The 20260-nt window shown below is 44.6% G+C and overlaps 1 protein-coding gene, 1 long non-coding RNA gene and 1 pseudogene across 6 annotated transcripts in view; 1 reads left to right on the forward strand and 2 right to left on the reverse strand.

The window, feature by feature from the left end:
• Nucleotides 1–10560, forward strand: part of SYNPO2L-AS1 (SYNPO2L antisense RNA 1) — a 21410-nt gene extending 10850 nt beyond the window's left edge. The window contains exons 2-3 of one of the 2 annotated variants that reach the window (NR_187519.1): nucleotides 2838–3473; nucleotides 9685–10560. This is a non-coding gene — a long non-coding RNA (SYNPO2L antisense RNA 1). The remainder of the gene's footprint in view (nucleotides 1–2837; nucleotides 3474–9684) is intronic. The other variant, NR_187518.1, reaches the window with a different exon arrangement.
• BMS1P4-AGAP5 (BMS1P4-AGAP5 readthrough) overlaps nucleotides 9387–20260 on the reverse strand; it is a 56232-nt pseudogene continuing 45358 nt past the window's right edge. For all 3 annotated transcript variants that reach the window (NR_160426.1, NR_160425.1, NR_160427.1), the window contains 4 exons: nucleotides 17806–17906; nucleotides 15183–15218; nucleotides 11831–11882; nucleotides 9387–11186 (listed from right to left, as the gene is read on the reverse strand). The product of NR_160426.1 is annotated as a BMS1P4-AGAP5 readthrough, transcript variant 2 (transcript). The remainder of the gene's footprint in view (nucleotides 11187–11830; nucleotides 11883–15182; nucleotides 15219–17805; nucleotides 17907–20260) is intronic.
• The window catches only part of AGAP5 (ArfGAP with GTPase domain, ankyrin repeat and PH domain 5), a 23815-nt gene continuing 12961 nt past the window's right edge, over nucleotides 9407–20260 (reverse strand). The window contains exons 5-8 of the mRNA NM_001144000.4: nucleotides 17806–17906; nucleotides 15183–15218; nucleotides 11831–11882; nucleotides 9407–11186 (exon numbers count right to left, since the gene is read on the reverse strand). Of these exons, the coding sequence (NP_001137472.1) occupies nucleotides 9711–11186; nucleotides 11831–11882; nucleotides 15183–15218; nucleotides 17806–17906 (1665 nt within the window). The 3' untranslated portion in view covers nucleotides 9407–9710. The remainder of the gene's footprint in view (nucleotides 11187–11830; nucleotides 11883–15182; nucleotides 15219–17805; nucleotides 17907–20260) is intronic.

Raw genomic sequence — 20260 nt, forward strand, 5'->3', positions numbered from 1 at the left:
GGCTGGGGAATGTTACTTCCACTGGCCAGGAGCCAAGGAGAGGTCTTCCCATGCTCCTACTTCTGGGGTGCAGGCCTGTGGCAGGGGTCTGAGGCTCTCTCCCCAATGCAGGCTCCTGGAGCTGCTCTCCTGGGTGTGTTGGGGCCTGATTAGTTTACTGGACTGTGGGCCCTCCCAGCCTGGGACTCGGGAGCTGAGACCCTCTTGCATTCCTGCATGGTGTTTGCGGGCTCCAGGGCTATGGCCAGTCCCCCTAGGGTGGACAGTGGGTATCGTGGGCAGCAGGACCTCTGGGTCTCAAGACTACGGCCCCACACATGCCATTGCTATCTCCTTTGGGCAGGGGTGAATTGGGGCTTAAACAATTTAGAGGGGCCCTCTTTATGAAAAAGAATACAATAATATGATTCTTGCACATTTTTCATTTATATACGTATGAACTTCTGGACCCAGAAGGGGCTGTGAAAGTCGGGGGCCTGGAGCTCAGGCGGGTCCAGGTGACCCTGTCCTACTTTTGTAACAGCCAGAGTCCAGGATGTTTTGCCCAGGGCATTGGGCTGGCACTGCAGAGGCCTGGGGGATGGGGGGACACCTGGGACATGGCTGGTGGGAATTGTTTTAGGAAACCTCAGGGATTCTCCCTGGACCTGTCAAAGCCCCTTCCCTGTTTCTTCTGAGGCTGTGTGTTCCCCACTCGCACAAGGGTCCTTTCTATGCCTGTTCCGCTGATAAATGTCATCTGCCTGCTCTAGAATGGCTTCCAGACCCCACAGACCCCCTCCTCATGAGCTCCCACCCTAGGGTACTCTCCACCAGTCCCCGCTTTCAGGAGCTCACCAGACTCAGACAGCCTGTTGTCAGAGCTCAGCCACACAGCAGGACCCTGGCCCACTGCCCAGCCCAGAGCCAGGCCCACCACAGCCTCTGGGGACAACTGCCCTTCCCCCCACCCCCTCCACATGGTCCCCTGCCCATGAGACCCTGCCCTGCTAATTTAATGCACTGCCTTGGTGTGAGCACTGATTCTAATGACAACATACCATGGCCTTCTGGGCAAGGCTGGGTCCAGACACAGATCCCAAATGCCTGCTGGGGAGAAGGCAAGAGGCCCGGGGAGGCCCAGGACCAGACATGGGTCCCAGGCCCTGGTGCCCTCCCTCTTGGCCTTCCAGCTGCTGCTGCTGTGACCAGATTCCCGTCCACCCAGCCCAGTCCATGGGCCCCAGCAAGCCATCTGTGCCCCACAGAGGGCAGACCCCTAAGAGTGGGACCCCTTTCTAGCCAAAGAACATGAGATAGCCCCAAATCCTCCTAAACATGATGGATCCTGGTCTGAGGGGCTGGGCTCAGGTGACTCCTGCAGGGAACTTCACCTGCCTGGATGAGGTCAAGTGTGAATCAGGTGGGGCCTGCCCTCCACCACCCCATCATGGAAGAGGTCCAGCCCACAGTAGGCCCAAGAGGGCCGCCCTTGGACCTAGGGACCCAAGTCAGCATATCCTGAGTCAGAAGGTCAAGTCCAGCCTCCCCTCAGGCAGGGAGAATCTGGCTTTGACAGGAGCAGATAAATTCTCAAGGTGGAATTTGCCCAACAAACTAGTTTGGCAAGGGACTAGCTGGCTGAATCATTGAGTCAAGGACAGCCAACGTTTCCAATAGTAATTTGCCAACTTAGAAATGACCAATTCTGGAAAACAACTTGTTTATTTGAAATACTTAAATACTTAGGCTGTCTCATGTCTGAAGCATGATGATGCCTTGCATGCTTTAAAGGACAGACGTCATGAATGCCAAGACTTTTGTGGCGGTCCATCCTGCCAGTGTCTTCTCCCACTTTTGCTCTGTGGATTTGAGCTCACAGTTTGTGCTGTGCCCACCACCTGCCCACCCTAACGAGACTCCTGGAGACTTGGCTGGCCAGTCACCAGAGGAAGAGGGGCCCAGCAGCATGCCAGCATTCACCCACCTGTGGGTATCAGTCAGGCTCCTGGTGGAAGCCAGAGGACATATTCGAATGGGTATTTGAGGAAAGGGGCTGTTCACAGAAGTGTGGACAGAGTTAAGAGAACCAGTAAGAGATGAGGAATGTCCTGGACCAGCAAGAGTGGGAGCTGTTATCTCCCTGGGTCTAGGAAAGGTGTCCACAGATCCCAAAGAGAGCTGTGGCTGTAGAGGAGGATCATCAGGAGCTGCAGCCATCAGTAGAAAGATGTGGCCACTGCCAAACCAGCAAGGAAGAATCTGAGCAAATAACCACCTCTCCTCTCTCTCTCCCACCTCCTATGACATCCTCCACTGTTTGAATTCCACTAGGGCCAGACAGTGAGGCACCCTGGTGATGCAGTCCAAGAGGGAGTGGGCAGAGAGGAGCCAGTGGGTATGGAGGGGAAACAGAGAAACAGAATTCCAGCTCACTCTGTGGGATTTCTGGGTCTGATAGAAACATGGCATTATTATTATTATTATTATTATTATTATTATTATTATTTTGAGATGGAGTTTTGCTCTTGTTACCCAGGCTGAAGTGCAGTAGCATGATCTCGGCTCACTGCAACTTCTGCCTCCCGCGTTCAAGAGATCCTCCTGCCTCAGCCTCCCAAGTAGCTGGGATTACCGGCACATGCCACCACGCCTTGCTAAATTTTGTATTTTTGGTAGAGGTGAGGTTTCACCATGTTGACCAGGCTGGTCTTGAACTCCTCACCTCAGGTGATCCGCCTGCCTCGGCCTCCCAAAGGGCTGGGATTACAGGCATGAGCCACTGTGCCCAGCCTGCAGCAGCTAAATTTTACAGTGTCTCTTTTCTCCTTCTGGAAACTATATGGAACAACAACAAGACTGAGGAGGAGGAGAAGGAGGAGGAGGAGGAAAAAGCCCATCATCAACACACACATCAAACTCAACTTCAGAGAAATTAGGAAGCTGGGAAGCCATGTAAACCAAAAGCAGGAGACACCAGCAGAACCAACGCAGGAAGCCAGGGAAGTGCAGAAGAACAGGGCAGGGGGCAACCCAGGGGGGAATCTTCACTGTTGCCAGCAACACACACTCCCAGCAGGAGAGGACCCTCAGAGTGAGAACGCAGAGCTGGAGAAGTGAAGAAGGAGCAGGTGGTGCCCGGGGAAGTCCAGGGGTGTGGGATCTGAGAGCACCCCTTCCCAAGAGAGGAAGGAACACTTGGGAAGGCAGGGCTGAGTCCCTGGAGGCTGTATCCGGGAAAGGAGGATGGCAGTAGAATCTTCCTGAAGCCGAGTGGGTTCTGAGAGGCAGAGGGGCAGTGGTACAGAGGTGAGGCTGACACTTCTGTGCAGGAAGGGCAGGCTCCTGAGGAAGGGAGCCCCGAATGCTCTCCACTAGATTCCCAGGGAGCCCCACTCCCTCCACAGGGACCTCGCGCTGACATCTGGGAAATGCCATTCATACTGGAACCTCCGACACACTGCCATGAATGTGAGGGTTTCGTGACTGATGGGGTAGGTTTCTCTCTTCCAACTTAATAGTATAATTTCCATTTATTCCTCCCCCAGCCTCCCTGAACATTCACCTCTTAGATAGCCACAGTACGGTGATCAGAACCAGGAAGTCCACATTCTCATATTTAACTATATTAAAATTATTTCACAAAATAACCAATTTTATTAATTTAATTAAATACATTTAAATAATGTTTAAATATATTTAAATAATGTTTAAATATATTTAAATAATGTTTAAATATATTTAAATAATTTAACTAATTTAAAATGAACATATTCGCTAAACAAAAGACCTTATTGGAGTTTCACCACTTTTTCCACTAATGTCCTTTTTCTGTTCCCAAATTCCACCCAGGATCACGCTGCATTTAGTTATTTCTTAGTCTCTCGCCATTTTGTAGGACTGCAATAACAGTTCCTCAATCTTTCCTTATCTTTCATAACCGTGACATCTTGAACCAGTACTGATCACTATTTGTCAAATGTTCCTCGATTTGGGTTTGTCTGATGTATTTCCATGATTGGACTGAAGTTACACACTTTTGGCAATTACAGCACAAAAATGATGTGGAATCCTTCCCAGTGCATTCCATCAGAGTTATGGCATTGATAGTTCTTCTTACTGATGATGTTGAACTTGTTCATTTGGTTCAGGTTTCTGCTGGGTTTCTCCATTGTAAAGTTACTATCTTTCCCCCTCATAGGGGGAAAGATCTTAGGAGAAATACTTGGAGACTATGAAAATTTTGTATTTTCTCAAACTTTAAAATTTTTTTCAGGCCAGGCGCAGTGGCTCACGCCTGTAATCCTAGCACTTTGGGAAGCCGAGGCGGGTGGATCACCTGAGGTCAGGAGTTGAAAACCAGCTTGATCAACATGGAGAAACCCCATACGTACTAAAAATACAAAATTAGCCAGGCATGGTGGTGCATGCCTGTAATCCCAGCTACTCAGGAGGCTGAGGAAAGAGAATCACTTGAACCTGGGAGGAGAGGCTGCAGTGAGCTGAGATCGTGCCATTGCGCTCCAGCCTGGATAAGAAGAGCAAAAGTCCATCACAAAAAAAAAAAAAAAAAAAAAAGGCCAGGCGCAATGGCTCATACCTGTAATCCCAGCACTTTGGGAGGCCAAGGTGGGTGGATCACCTGAGGTCAGGAGTTGGAGACCAGCCTGACCAACATGGAGAAACCCCATCTATACTAAAATAAAATACAAAATTAGCTGGGCATGGTGGTGCATGCCTGTAATCCCAGCTACTCGGGAGGCTGAGGCAGTAGAATTGCTTGAACACGGGAGGTGGAGGTTGCCGTGAGCCGAGATCCTGCCATTGCACTCCAGCCTGGCCAACAAAAGCAAACCTCCATCTCAAAAAAAAAAAAAAAACAAAAAAACAAAACACCTATTTGACAGCCGGGCATGGTGGCTCACACCTGTAATCCCAGCACTTTGGGAGGCCAAGGCAGGTGGATCACCTGAAGTCAGGAGTTCAAGACCAGCCTGGCGAACATGGTGAAACCCCGTCTCTACTAAACTTACAAAAATTAGTTGGGCATGGTGGCATGTGCCTGTAAGTTCCAGCTACTTGAGAGGCTGAGGCAGGAGAATCGCTTGAACCCAGAAGGCAGAGGTTGCAGTGAGCCGAGACGGTGCCATTGCACTCCAGCCTGGGCAGCAGAGTGAGGGATCTCAAAAAATTATAATAAAAAAATAATAATTCTATTTTGAATTGTGGTAAAATATGCATAAAATTTACTACCTTAACCACTTCTAAGTGGCAGTCGGAACAGGGGTTAAGGAGAGCCCTTGGGTTGGGTAATGTAGAGTATATTCACATTGCCATGCAACCAATCTCCAGAACTTTTTCATCTGACAAAACCAAAACTCTATATCCACTAAGCAACTTCCCATTTTCTCCCTTCCCCATGTCCCTGGCAACCCCCGTTCTACTTTCTGTTTCTATTAGTTTGCTTACTCAGTCTGGATGCTTCACATAAGTGAAAGAACACAGTATTTGTCTTTTTCTAACTGGCTTATTTCACTTAGCATAATGTCCTCAATGTTCATCCATGTTGTAGCATGTGTTAGAATTTCCTTCCTTTTTAAGGCTGAAGAATATTTTATTGTATGTATATACCACATTTTATCAATTCATCTGCCTATGGACAATTAGGCTGCATCCATCTTTTGATGAGTGTGAATACCACTGCTATAAATATCAGTGTACAAATATTTCTATGAGACCTTGCTTTCAATTATTTTGGCTATATACCCAGAAGTGATATTGCTGGATCATTTGGTAATTCTATTTTTAATTTTTTGAGAAACTGCCTGTCCTGTGCTGAGCAGGTCTATATAAACCTACCCGCAAAGGCCAAGGAACCTGAGATACCAAAGAAAGAGGCTGACAAATCCAGTTTCTCAGAAAGAAACATTTAATAGGCGTTTATGAACAGAAGCCAAGTCAGGGATGGCACCAAGATAAGATGGTGGATCCCTGTGCCATTACCCCCACCCCCCCGACCCAGGGCTTCTATAGCATAGGGGAAGGGTAATGCGGGCTTCGGCAGGGATGTGTATGGCCAGACACGGTGGCTCACGCCTGTAATCCCAGCTCTTTGGGAGGCCAAGGTGGGCGGATCACCTGAGGTCAGGAGTTCCAGACCAGCCTGGCCAACATGGTAAAACCTCATCTGTACTAAAAATACAAAAATTAGCCAGGCATGGTGGCAGGCGCCTGTAATCCCAGTTACTCGGGAAGCTGAGGCAGGAGAATCGCTTGAACCCAGGAGGTGAAGTTTGCAGTGAGCTGAGATTGTGCCACTGCAGTCCAACCTGGGAGACAGAGTGAGACTGTCTCAAAAAATAAAAAATAAAAAATAATATTTTTAAAAAGATAAAATAGAAATTGTAGATGAATTCTTGGAACTGGGATTAATCAGAATATGGCAGATTAGCCTCCAAGATGGAATTGCTTTACTCTCATTCAAGGTTTCCCTCATTCTTCACTCTCCCCATGCTGGTCACCTTGCTGTTTGTTCCTCAAACACATATGAAATGCGTTTCTGTCTTGGCAGTCATCCTGCTACCTGTAATGTCAGCACTGCTTTCTGTTGTCCCTTCAGTCAGGTCATTGTTCAAATAGCTCTCTAGACAGGCTCTTCCTTATCATTCTACTTAAAATAGCCCCCAATCACTCTGTGTCCCTTTAGCCTGCTTCCTCTTCCTGCTATTTCATACTACCTGAAAAAATACTTGAACTTCCTAGAACATAAGCTCCTAAAAGCAAGAACTGGGCTCCACCTCTCCTCTCCTCTACCCCAGCACTCAGAAGAGCAACAGAGTCAGCATCCAGTGAGTGTTCATGAATCAAGTCACTGCTTGGCAGAATTCAGCACTGGGACCACAGCCTCGCCTGTCTTCAACTCTTTCTCCTTCTGCTTTTCCTCCTCCCACTCTAGTAGCCACTCTTCTGGGGGCTTGTCCCTTAAATGATTAGTCCTTACCAACCTATTTTCTGTCCACTTTATCTGTTTTTGAGAGAGGGTCTCACTCTGTTGCCCAGGCTGGAGTGCAGTGGCATGTATATGGGTCACTGCAGCCTCCACCTCCTGGGCTCAAGTGATCTTCCTGCCTCAGCCTGCCATGCCATGTAACTGGGGCCACAGGCATGTGCCACCATGTCCAGCTAATTTCTTGATTTTTTTTTTTTTTTTTTGGTAGAAATGGGTCTCACTGGCCTGCAGAAATATGCATGTCCTCAGTGTTTGGACTGCCAGCTGCAAGGCAGAGCCAAACCCAATATGGCCCCATCATCCCTGGCTCAGCTGTGCTACCTGGCCATGCTGGAAGGGGTTTGATTTTCCAGGAATTTGCTTCACAGCTCTTTCCTGTCCCAAGATCTATGCCTGATGTGTAAATTCAGGACGCAAAAGGGCACAAAAAAGCAATAACTACTAAATATAAGGAAAACAACTCTGTATACAGCACATATAAAGAAAAGCAAGATATATTTGGGGAGATAAAAGTTGTAAAGGCATTAAGATGTGTGTTTGTTGAGAAAAAATAAATTTGTGCATTTAAGAAGTTAAAAAAAAAAAAAAAAGAAATGGGTCTCACTTTATTGCCCAGTCTGGTCTTGAACTCCTACACTCGAGCAGTCCTCTCAACTTGGCCTCCCAAAGTGCTGGGATTACAGGCATGAGATACTGTACCTGGTCTTATTTTTTTCTTTTCTTAAGATACAGGGTCTCAACATCTGGCCCAGGCTGGACTCAAACTGCTGAGCTCAAGTAATTCCCCCACCTCAGCCTCCGAAGTAGCTAGGACTAAAGGCATGAAACCACCATGCTTGGCTTGTCCAATTTCATTCTACACACTTTCTCGGTATTTAAACAGCTGCTGTTGCTCTTCATTCTGTAGCTCTACATCAGATTCATGCTCCAGTCCTGTATATCCAAATGATGACTAGAGGCTGCCGGCTCTGCTCTTTCAAAGGCACAATGAGTGTAGCCGGTCTACAAAACTCTCCCTTTTCCAATCCAGCTTTCCCTCCTGCATCACCTATCTCTCTACATCTGGAACCATCGGCAGCTGCCTTCATAAGGCACCTCGGTCTGGCATTCGGAAAACCACCCTGTCTTGCCAGAGCCGCTTGGTCTTGGGTAGCAAAAGCTGTATGCAATCTAAATCAAGCTTTCAATCATGAGAAATCACATTCCTTCTTTTCCCTTTGTAATATACTCGTGTGTTTTTTTTTTCCTTTCTCAATAAGCAAATTGTACCACCATCTTATTCTGAGATGCTCCTTTTTAAAAGCTGTAGATCACATTAATGGAAGTGTTTACTGCTGGGAATATTTTCCATGTGCAATGATCTGTAACCCTCTTTTTCTTTTCTTTTTTTTTTTTGAGACAGAGTCTCGCTCTGTTGCCCAGGCTGGAGTGCAGTGGCACAGTCTCTGCTCACTGCAAGCTTTGCCTCCTGAGTTCATGCCATTCTCCTGCCTCAGCCTCCCAAGTAGCTGGGACTACAGGTGCCCGCCACCATGCCCAGCTAATTTTTTTTTTTTTTTTGAGATGGAGTCTCGCTTGGTTGCCCAGGCTGGAGTGCAGTGGTGCAATCTCAGCTCATTGCAAGCTCCGCCTCCTGGGTTCACACCATTCTCCTGCCTCAGCCTCCCGAGTAGCTGGGACTACAGGTGCCTGCCACCACACCTGGCTAATTTTTTTTTTTTTTTTTGTATTTTTAGTAGAGACGGGGTTTCACCATGTTAGCCAGGATGGTCTTGATCTCCTGACCTCGTGATCCGCCTGCCTCGGCCTCCCAAAGTGCTGGGATTACAGGTGTGAGCCACCACGCCCGGCCATGCCCAGCTAATTTTTTGTATTTTTTAGTAGAGATGGGGTTTCATGATGTTAGCCAGGATGGTCTCAATCTCCTGACCTGGTGATCAGTCCGCCTAAGCCTCCCAAAGTGCTAGGATTACAGGTGTGAGCCACTGCGCCCAGCCGAACTGTAACCCTCTTATCTCAACTAGCTGACATTATTACTTCACATCCAGTTCAATTTATAAATTAAGAGAGGTGCCATGGGCCGGGTACGGTGGCTCACGCCCGTAATCCCAACACTTTGGGAGGCCGAGGCAGGTGGATCACGAGGTCAGGAGTTCGAGACCATCCTGGCTAACATGGTGAAACCACGTCTCTACTAAAAATACAAAAAATTAGCCAGGTGTGGTGGCAGGCACCTGTAGTCCCAGCTACCTGAGAGGCTGAGGCAGGAGAATGGTGTGAATCCGGGAGGCAGAGCTTGCAGTGAGCAGATATCATGCCACTGCACTCCAGCTGGGGCAACAGAGCAAAACATCGTCCAAAAAAAAAATAAAAATAAAAATGAAAAAGAGGTGCCATGTGTACAAAAATCAATGCATATTTATGAACTTTTTTTTCAAATATATTTTCACACATTTTATCTAAATACATAATACAGAAGCCTGTGTGACTTGGGCAATGTGGCCAGGAGGGCCTGAGACTAACACATCCACCTTGGCAAAAGGACATAAAATATGTCTTATGGTCAGAAAAATCAACATTTTGTGTATTTACTTAGTTTATGAAAAGTACTGAAAATGCTATTACTAGCTGAATTTGTGATTTCCTTTTGAAATTCTGAGTTATCCTTATTTTTCCCATTTTGTTTTTGCACCAAGGAGACTGCAGTCAAATAAAACAGATACTACACGCACTCGTCGGGGCAGCCGTACTGCAGAAGCACGTTGATGCACTCCTGGCTGGAGGCCTGCCGGGCGTAGGTCAGCGCTGTGTTCCCGTGGGCATCTCGGGCCATGACGTCCACCCCGTACCAGATCAGGAGCTGTGCCAGGACCACATTCCCCTTGCGGCAGGCCAGATGGAGCGCCGTGCAGCCGTCTCCCTCCCCACAGGTCTCGTTCACCTCCTCACGGGAGCCATGTGCCAGCAGCAGGATGGCTGTCTGCAGGTCCTCATCAGCGGTGGCCCGCAGCAGGTGCTGGCCCAGGGACAGCTCAGTGCAGGGTAGTGGGGCCAGAAAGAGCTTCTCCTCATATTTGGAACGGATCCACCGTTCCTTCTCTTCCCTCGTGGACTTTACTGAGGGTTTTGTCTGCCCCTGGCTGCTCCCTTCCCAGATGCTGTTGGCTAGGTCATTGCCAATAGATGACATAACCTTCCTGAGCTCAACTGGCCAGTCATCCAGCTCCAGAGATCGCACACGGGAAAGGCGGGTGCCAAGACTGCGGTGGATTCCTGAGCATTCAATACACATGAGGACTCCCAAGTTCAAACTGGCCCACTTAGGATTCTGGGTCTCATAGTCCACACAGTGGGCGTTCCCACGCATGTTTTGGATCGACTGCAGGGCCATGGCCTCGCTCTGGCTGGTCAGCTGGGACTTGCTTTTACTGCTCTCGCATGACTGCAGGCTGGCCAGGATCTGGCTCTGGATGGCTTGGACCCAGGCATCCCGCTCCTCATACGTCGTGGCTTCAAAGTGCCATGTTTGGCCAGTGGCAGACACAATCATAAAGTTGTTGGTGCTTTTCTTCTTTAGGTGTTTCTTTTTATTGGCATGAGGAGAGGGGGGCGGGTTGAGCTTGGGGCTGGTGGTGCTGGAGATACTGGGGCTGAAGCATATGGAGTCACCCAGCCCGGTGTCCATGTCCTTGGATAGGCCATTGCTTTTAGAGCTGGAGATGGGTGCACAGGCCGATGTGGCTAGGGATGGCCACTTTCCTGGGACTTTGATGGTAGATGTCCGAAGGTCAATCTCTTTTTTATGAATATTCTTCATATAATCACCTAAGCTTGAATAATAGGTGAGCACGCCATTGGAACACAGGGTGACGTATTTCTTTTTCCATGTCTTCAGCCATTTCCCACTTCGCTTTAAGAGCATGCCCTGTTTAATGGGGATGGCTCTGCCGCTCCCGATGGTGTCAGCATGATTCTCCGGGGCTTTCCTCTCTTTGTCTGGGTGACTCCCTTTCTCAGATGTAAACAGGTTGGACCAGCGCATGGACCGCTTGCAAACGGGGGTGGGTGTGTTGGCAGTGGGAGGAACACTGAACTGAGGGTCCTCCTGGCTGGTGCTGGGAGTCGATGGAATGGAGGAGGAATAGTTATTTAAACTCCCACCTCCATTTCTGTTCTTCGTAATGTGCACGGTGGAAACCTGTGTGGAACAGAAGGAGGAATGGCTTCAAAAATTGGGTAGTGGCTTGCAGGGTCCTATAGACAGCTTACAATTACCTTTTAAAAAGATACATTTTCTGGGCCAGGCATGGTGGCTCACACCTGTAATCACAGCACTTTGGGAGGCCAAGGTGGGTGGATCACGAGGTCAGGAGTTCAAGACCATCCTGGCCAACATGGTGAAACCCTGTCTTTACAAAAAAAAAAAAAAAAAGAAAAGAAAAAAGAAAAAAAAATTAGCTGGGCATGGTGTCACATGCCTGTAATTCCAGTTACTCGGGAGGCTGAGGCAGGAGAATTGCTTGAACAGGGACCTGGGAGGCAGAGCCTGCAGTGAGCCAAGATCGCGCGATTGCACTCCAGCCTGGGCTACAGAAAGAGAGTCCATCAAAAAAAAAAAAAGATACATTTTCTGTTGTTTGGATAGTATATTTACTCATACTAGCTCACTAACTAAACAGAGCTGCAGATCAGTTCTTACTCCAGCACATTCTTTTTACAACACTTAAGATGACTAAATGCAACATGAAATGGGGAAGATTTAAAAAAAGATGGCTTTGACTTCAGCATGAAACAGATACAAGTGTACGATGAAAATAGAACCTCAATAAAAGTGCCACTTACCGCAAATGAGTGTAACTGTTCATCAGGTATGCTCAAAGATCTATCTGCATCTCTATAAAATAAGAAAGTGCATTACTTCAAAAACTGTTAATATCTTAGTATAATATTTGTTGAGTAAAATACTTCCTCCTGTGTGCTTTGGTGTTTACTTTACCAAAGCAGTTTTTACAAATTCTTCTCCTGGATCCTGACTTGCAGAGGGTTTCCTGACTTCTTCTTTCTCAGCACATCATGGCCTGTACCGTGAAGCCTTTTATATGATAACCAGTCAGAAATGCCCATGAATATTGACTCTCCCTAACAGGCCATGGCAATAAACCAAACATATTTTCACTCTTCTAACCACACATTGAAACACAAGAATGTTCTACAAAGCAGTAGTAGTAAACTTTAATAAATGTAAATGTGATTCAGATTTCCTAGCTTCCTTTCTCTTTAGTTCTCTGTAGTATACTCTCATGATGTTTTTATGTATTTTCTGTTGTCTGAATGACAAACTCATCTGCCTTTTTAAGAGGCCAGTCTTTGAGGAACTTTAAACTTTGTAAAACTAATGCATTGTGCCTGTGTATAAACCAGTGGTTCTCCAAATGTGCTCTGTGGACCTCTCGGGATCCCGAAGACCCCTTCCAGAAGGCCTAAGAGGTCATAACTGTTCTTTTTTTTTTTTTTTTTTTTTTTTTTGAGACCAAGTTTTACTCTTGTTGCCCAGGCTGGAGTGCAATGGTGTGATCTCGGCTCATGGCAACCTTCGCCTCCCAGGTTCAAGTGATTCTCCTACCCCAGCCTCCCAAGTAGCAGGGATTACAGGCACCTGCCACCACTCCTGGCTAAGTTTTGTATTTTTAGTAGAGATGTGGTTTCACCATGTTGGCCAGGCTGGTCTTGAACTCCTAACCTCAGGCGATCCACTTGCCTCGGCCTCCAAAGTGCTGGGATTACAGGCCTGAGCTACTGTGCCTGGCCAACACTGTTCTGAATCATACTAATTAAACCTGAGAAAGCTGATGAAAAATTTTAAAAATTTGTGAAAGTAATACAAAGTCATTGCCTGCTTTTTCGTTGACACTTGCCATGATTGTATAAAAGCAAAAGTAGGTACAATGGCTGGTTTCTCAGCATAAATCAAGGCAGTGGTACCAATTACATTAGTAGTCCCTTTCACTGTCCCCTACAGGTAAAAAACATAGCCTGAATTTCTTAAGAACGTCTTTGATGAAGCAATAAAAATTAATGTTGTTAAATCTTGACATGTCTCTAATATTCTGAATAAGTGGAAAGTTAATGAGAAGTGCTTTTTTTTTTGTTTTTAAAGAATCCGTGATTTAACTGTGAACTGAAAAATCACTTTTTTCACAGAACATCATTTTTATTTAAAAGTACAACTGGGCCAGCGCAGTGGCTCACGCCTGTAAAATCCCAGCACTTTGAGAGGCCAAAGCAGGCAGATGGCCTGAGCTCCTTCAGGAGTTCGGGACCAGCCTAGGCAACGTAACGAAACTGTGTCTCTATCAAACATATAAGAAAATTAGCCTGGCGTGGTGCCACACATCTGTGGTCCCAGCTACACAGGAGCCTGAGGTGAGAGGATTGCTTGAGCTGAGATCATGCCAATGCACTCCAGCCAAGTGACAGAGTGAAACTCGGTCTAAAAAACCAGTTCAACTATCATTCTCAAAAATAAATGAAGTGAGAGGTTGTCACTTCAAGGGAAATACGTATTTGTTCCCAATGATAAAATTTAAGCTTTCCTGTGGACTTTGAAAAACTTGTTCCTTCTACTGTAGGCTTGGCAGCTTTTCAATACTTAAAGGCGTGTTAAAGTAAGATTGGTGGTTAAACTAAAAGTGATTTTTGACACAATAAAACATAAGCCAATATATTCCAAGTAACTAATGCATGATATTATAAATGCAAGTATGGAGCAAAAGATCCATTTACTGTGCAAGAAAGATCAATGAGTACTGATGGAATAAATTTATTAATATGTAAAATGCCACCGTAACTAATTTAAGAAACCACCACTTGTGAAGTTTTGATTTAGTGTTTTAACAAATACCCACAACTGTCTGAAAACTTTAAAAATACACCTTCTACCAACTACATATTTGCATGAGGTTAGGTCATCTTATTGCTTCTTTTTCTCTTTTTTTGAGACAGAGTCTCTCTCTGTCACCCAGGCTGGGGTGCAATGGCGAGATCTCGGCTCACTGCAACCTCCACCTCCCAGGCTCAAGCGATTCTCCTGCCTCAGCCTCCCAAGTAACTGGGACTACAGGCATGCACTACCATGCCCAGCCACTTTTTGTACTTTCAGTAGAGGCGGGTTTTACCATGTTGGTCGGGCTGGTCTCAAACTCCTGACCTCAAGTGATCCACCCACCTCAGCCTCCCAAAATGCTGGGATTACAGGTGTGAACCACTGCGCCCCACCAGCTTATTGCTTTTTTTGTTTGTTTGTTTAGACAGAGTCTTGCTCTGTCACCCAGGCTGCAGTGCAATGGCACAATCTCAGCTCTCTGCAACCTCCGCCTCCCAAGTTCAAGCGGTTCTCCTGCCTCAGCCTCCAGAATAGGTGGGACTACAGGTGCGTGCCACCATGCCCAGCTAAGTTTTTGTATTTTTAGTAGAGACGGGGTTTCGCCGTGTTAGCCAGAATGGTCTCGATCTCCTGACCTTGTGATCCGCCCGCCTCAGCCTCCCAAAGTGCTGGGATTACAGGCGTGAGCCACTGTGCCCAGCCTCATATTGCTTCTTTGAAGCAAATTGCAAAGAAAGCTCTAGAGAATCCATTTGTCTCCTATTAAGCTCAACATGAGAGACTTTAAATAATATAAACAAATGACACACTTTTTACTCAACTTTTTGTTGTAGAAAAGTTTTTTTTCAATGAAAAACTTCTGTTAACAATACTGTTCTCAAGGAATATTTTCTGTTTTTATAACCTGGGTCATGGGTTACTACTGACATCTAGTTGGTAGAGGCCATGAATACTGCTAAACTCTCTGCAATGCACAAGACAGTCCTTACAACAAAGCATTATCTAGCCCATAATATCAACAGTGGTAAGGCTGTGAAATCTAAACTAAAAATAGATTTTGAAAAAATTTCAATTGTATAATTCTACCACACTAAATATCAATATAATCAATATAAGCATATACTCTTTGAGATTCTCAATCATTTAAGAATTATGAGAGTCTTAAGGAACAAAGAAAATACAAATAATTTGCTTCGATATTTTAGTAGGCACAATACAGCTTATGATGTCTAGAGCTGTGACCTAACACTGAGCTTGATATCTTGCAAAGTAATTAGCTAGAATAACAAGACAGGTTTCTAAAAAGCTCACCTTTGTGTGATATGATGAGGTATCTCCAAGGTCACACTGTGGAAGGAAAAAAAATTCATAACAATAGATGTTATCATTTGTTAGGCCTGAAGACATTTTTTAAAAGGGGGGCAGAGGAAACTCTCCTAGCGGCCCTGAAATTCAAATCTTCTAGTTCAGAACAGTACCATAAGGGCACTTTGTTTTCATTTCTTTGTTTTTTACAAAAATATGAGAACCAAAATGCAAGGAAATATGCCGTTAGAAGACGCGTTTCTGTTGGTGATTACAATATATAAATAATAACAGATTTCCCTGTTATATGCTTTTCTACCGATGAAACCTTTCGTCCCATGCGATTTATTTTATGTATTTATTTATTTTTTGACCCAGAGTCTGTCTCTCTTGCTCAGACTGGACTGCAGTGGTGCCATCTTGACTCCTCACAACCTCCACCACCCAGGTTCAAGCGATTCTCACGCCTCAGCCTCCCAAGAAGCTGGGACTACAAGTTTGCGCCACTATGCCCAGATAATTTTTTTTGGGGGGGGTGGGTGGGTGGAGTTTCGCTCTTGTTGCCCAGGCTGGAGTGCAATGGTGTGATCTCGGCTCACCACAACCTCTGCCTCCCGGGTTCAAGAGATTCTCCTGCCTCAGCCTCCCAAGTGGCTGGGATTACAGGCATGTACCACCACGCCCAGCTAATTTTGTAGAGTGAGGCTCAAAACAACTGAGGGAAGGTAAATCTCAATTCTACTAATAGGTCTACACAATATTAGCACTTTTTAAAAAGCCTGTAACATTAGCATGTGAGATGGATATGTCTATAGTGCTTCAAGTAGTTTTCATCTCTGAAATAATTTTAAAATCACAGAATTTAAAGTTACATGCTGGAAAGGACCAATGACCTTATGTGACATTTAATTCAACACTCGTTTTACAGATCAGGGAAACAAACCTTAAAACTGACTTGCCCAAGGTCCCACCAAATAGGAGCAGTTTCTCGTCCTAAACTCAAATTAAGCAGTGGCTCTCAAACTTTGCTGCACATTAAAATCGCCTGAGAAGCTTTAATATCTGCCTCATCTTCCACATGAGACATTTTAATTTAATTAGTATTGGGTATGGCTTTGGGCATCAAGGTTCTTGGTAAACGTTTCCCAGGTGATTTCAATCAGCAGCAAAGTTTGGAATGATTGAGCTGGGGTGAAAATCAGAATCTTCTGGGATGCTTTTCTTCACAGAAAGATGCCTCACATCCATCCTGATTTTCCTAAAAGGCTTCTCAGTGCCTACAGATAGAGGGAAAGTGGAGATGGGAAGATACATGTATTTGCAGACTTGCATTTTGAAAAAAACCTTGCATAAGTGATCTCAGCGAGTGCCACCTATCCCACTGACAACAGTGCACTACTGATTCATGATAAAACATTTTTCAAAATATCTTCTTGAAGCCAATTTGCCCTATTAATTTGTTCAATAACTTTATTTCACCAATAGTGAATACACCAAATGATTATTTCTCAAACTTGCTGGTGGCAAATTAAAACTTACTATACTCTCAAAAGTAGACTTCTAAAAAGTAGAATAATGAGGAAAAAAGCACGAAATTAGTTTCAGCAAAATTAATCTTCAAAGCTGCTTTTGAATTATATGCTAACTTATCAAAATCTTTGGAACTCAGAAGAAGCCAGGGACTCTAGTCAAAGTAATTTTTGTGTATGTGTGCTCAAAGATTTAAGAGACTTGGCTGACTACAGACATTTAGTGATTACTCAATAGGTCCCAAAGCTCAGGACTTGAGACAGAGTTTGAGTCCAGTTTTTGTTCGAAACACAATTTCCTCTCAACTATTGTTAAAAGGGAGGGAGGAAAGTGACATTATTATGAGTGTAAACTTGCCACTTTTAATTGAAGTAAAAGTTATTGACAATTGAATTAGCTAAAAAGGCTAGTGCATCTGAAACAAAATTGTTTATAAGCTAGTTATGTTTACAGAATGAAAAGTTAAATTAAAGATAAAGACATTAATATTCTAAATTAGGACTTTCCAAACTGTGTTCTAAAAATCAAGACTAATAACCCAAGGAGATGAGAATAATGTACACTGGACGGCCCCTGTGGAGCTGGTGGTGGTGTTGGTTGTTGTTCCTTTTAAAATAAACTTCATCTCAGGGTGCTCTCAAAGCGCATCTTTGTGGCCCACGAGGTGCTCATGCACAATGGGAGAAATTCAAATGCAGATACACTGTGGTGCCAGAAGAAGAAAAGCTGTTCCTTCTTCCAAGGATAATGTCCAAAGTAGTGCACACTGATTTGGGCCTATGATGCATTGAAAAACTAAGTTTCCACAAAAAACATTCAATAAAGGGAACCTATCCTTCTCACTGTGTTCAACATTGTCTAAAGGCATAAAGGCATCAAAAAGATACACTGTTTCTGGGTTTGCTTCTTTGCTAACTGATTTTTCCTTCCACCACGACGTCTAAGATTAAAAGAGAAACTGATACTTAATATTGAGAATCTGGATATCAATATATGGTTGACTCCAATTTCTTAAGCTGATTGCTGAAGAGGACAACCAAATGGCTGAAATAATTTCCGAATAAAGGAATCTGTCCCTCGGCAGCATAGTTGTACTCACGATATTATTGTCATTGTAAGATAATGCTGGCTGGCTGTGCTGTCATCAAGGAATATTGTCGAACACGAGCTGTATTGTTGACTGAAACGCTCAGTAGATACCTGAAGGGGAAGGGAAGTGTAAGTCAAATTTATCAAAGTGTATTTTTTTCTCAGTTAAAATGTCAAATGACAAAGCACTAAGATATGTCTTACACTCCATGAACTGCCTGAGTGTGGTATCATGTGCACTCTATAGAAAACCCATTGGAGGCTCTCAACTTCCAGAGATGATGTTTAAGATATGGGTTATAAAATGCTGCCCTTAATATGGTACCTGTCATCAAACCTAACAAGGATTTTATGAATTACCGTTAAAAATAATGGGAAAAGTCGGCTTCGCCGGGCGCGGTGGCTCACACCTGTAATCCTAGCACTTTGGGAGGTGGAGGCGGGCAGATCACGAGGTCAAGAGATCGAGACCATCCTGGCTAACATGGTGAAACCCCGTCTCTACTAAAAATACAAAAAATTAGCCGGGCGTGGTAGCAGGCCCCTGTAGTCCCAGCTACTCGAGAGGCTGAAACAGGAGAATGGGGTGAACCCAGGAGGCAGAGCTTACAGTGAGCCGAGTTCGCGCCACTGCACTCCAGGCCGGGAGACAAAGTGAGACTCCGTCTCAAAAAAAAAAAAAAAAAAGAAAGAAAAGTTTAAAATGAGATTTCATATTTTTTTCTACAGCAATAAAAAGCAGCCAAGAATTTCTATTAATTAATTAATTAATTTATTTATTTATTTATTTATTTTTGAGACGGAGTCTCGCTCTGTAGCCCAGGCTGGAGTGCAGTGGCGCGATCTCGGCTCACTGCAAGCTCCGCCTCCCGGGTTCACGCCATTCTCCTGACTCAGCCTCCTGAGTAGCTGGGACTACAGGCGCCCGCCACCATGCCCGGCTAACTTTTTGTATTTTTAGTAGAGACGGGGTTTCACCGTGTTAGCCAGGATGGCCTCGATCTCCTCACCTCGCGATCTGCCTGCCTCAGCCTCCCAAAGTACTGGGATTACAGGCGTGAGCCACGGCGCCCAGCCCTTCTATTATTTATTTACTACGATAAAATGTAGTGTATTAAATAATCCTGCTACAAGAGCATTTTATTGCAGTGAATACAAGACTAATGCATTTACTAAATTACTAATCCTAAATGTATTATTTCAGGTGATATTGTTACAAAAGAAGTGCTTCAGATTCAGGGGCTCTGTGTGCCAGGGCTGCTAGGCCACCAACAAGTGAGGAAGCCATAGGTTTCTCTAGTCCTATTTTCTTATGTGGAGGATAAAAAGAGTATCACTTAAATATTCTCTCACACCCTAAAAACAAATGACAACTTAAAAAATCTAACTTTCACTTCATGTTTAAATAAGACTGCCAAGACATGACTCAAATGAGACTCTCGGAGAATACTTTGCATTCACTTCAAAACTTGATCAATTGCATTCTATAAATCATCTGACCTGCACCTAGCCATTTTCCTGCTCTACCCCTGCTCTCTGCCTAGAATACTGCTTTTCTCTTTCCTTGCTTCAGCAAGCTCGACTCCATCTACCCTCTTGGATCTCTTTGTCGGCAGCCACACCAAAAAATGTATTTTTATACACTAATTAGTTGAATTCACCACTGCTTACAAGATGCTAATTCCTGCAGAGTATTCCCCTCATGAGAAAGTATGCCTCTCCATAAGAGTAAGGGAGGGCCCTTACTCTTCCTACCTCCAGCTGCTGAGCATAGAATTTTGAGTAAATCCAAAACTTCGACAAGTGTTTGACAATTCAGTTATCATTTGGAAGGTAAGTCTTACTACATTTAATTACAGCAAAAACACTACTAACAGTTTACTCTTTATAGGTATTATTTAAGGTAGTCACAAAATAGAAACAAATAATCTAACGTCAGTCAGCATAAATGAGAGTATGAAATTTTACAATATTTAACAAGAAATGGAAGGGGTTACTTAGTAGTTTTAAGGTTTAATGACAAAAACTAGAAAATAATCGTACCTAGTAATTTAGTAAGTCAAAACCAAAGCCTTACCATCAAAGGTGCAGTACCCATTGGATGCGGATGCCCACGCACTGACTTCTGCTGTACCTGCTGCCTCTCATTTTAACCCATTAAAAATACTAAAGTTGTTTTCCTTGTAGACATCTTTCACCTCCTTGGTTAGGTCTATTCCGAAGTATTTTATTTTATTTTAGTTTATTTTTGCAGCTATCAGAAAAGGGGTTGAGTTCTTGGTTTGATTCTAAGCTTGGTCGCTTCTGGGGTATAACAGAGCTACTGATTTGTGTACATTAATTTTGTCTCCTGAAACTTTGCTGAATTCATTTATCGGTTCTAGGAGCTTTTTGGAGGAGTCTTTAGGGTTTCCTAGGTATATGATCATATCATCATCAAACAGCAACAGTTTGACTTCCTCTTT

Source organism: Homo sapiens, chromosome 10, assembly GCF_000001405.40.
Source record: "Homo sapiens chromosome 10, GRCh38.p14 Primary Assembly".
In the NCBI taxonomy this organism is placed as follows: domain Eukaryota; kingdom Metazoa; phylum Chordata; class Mammalia; order Primates; family Hominidae; genus Homo; species Homo sapiens.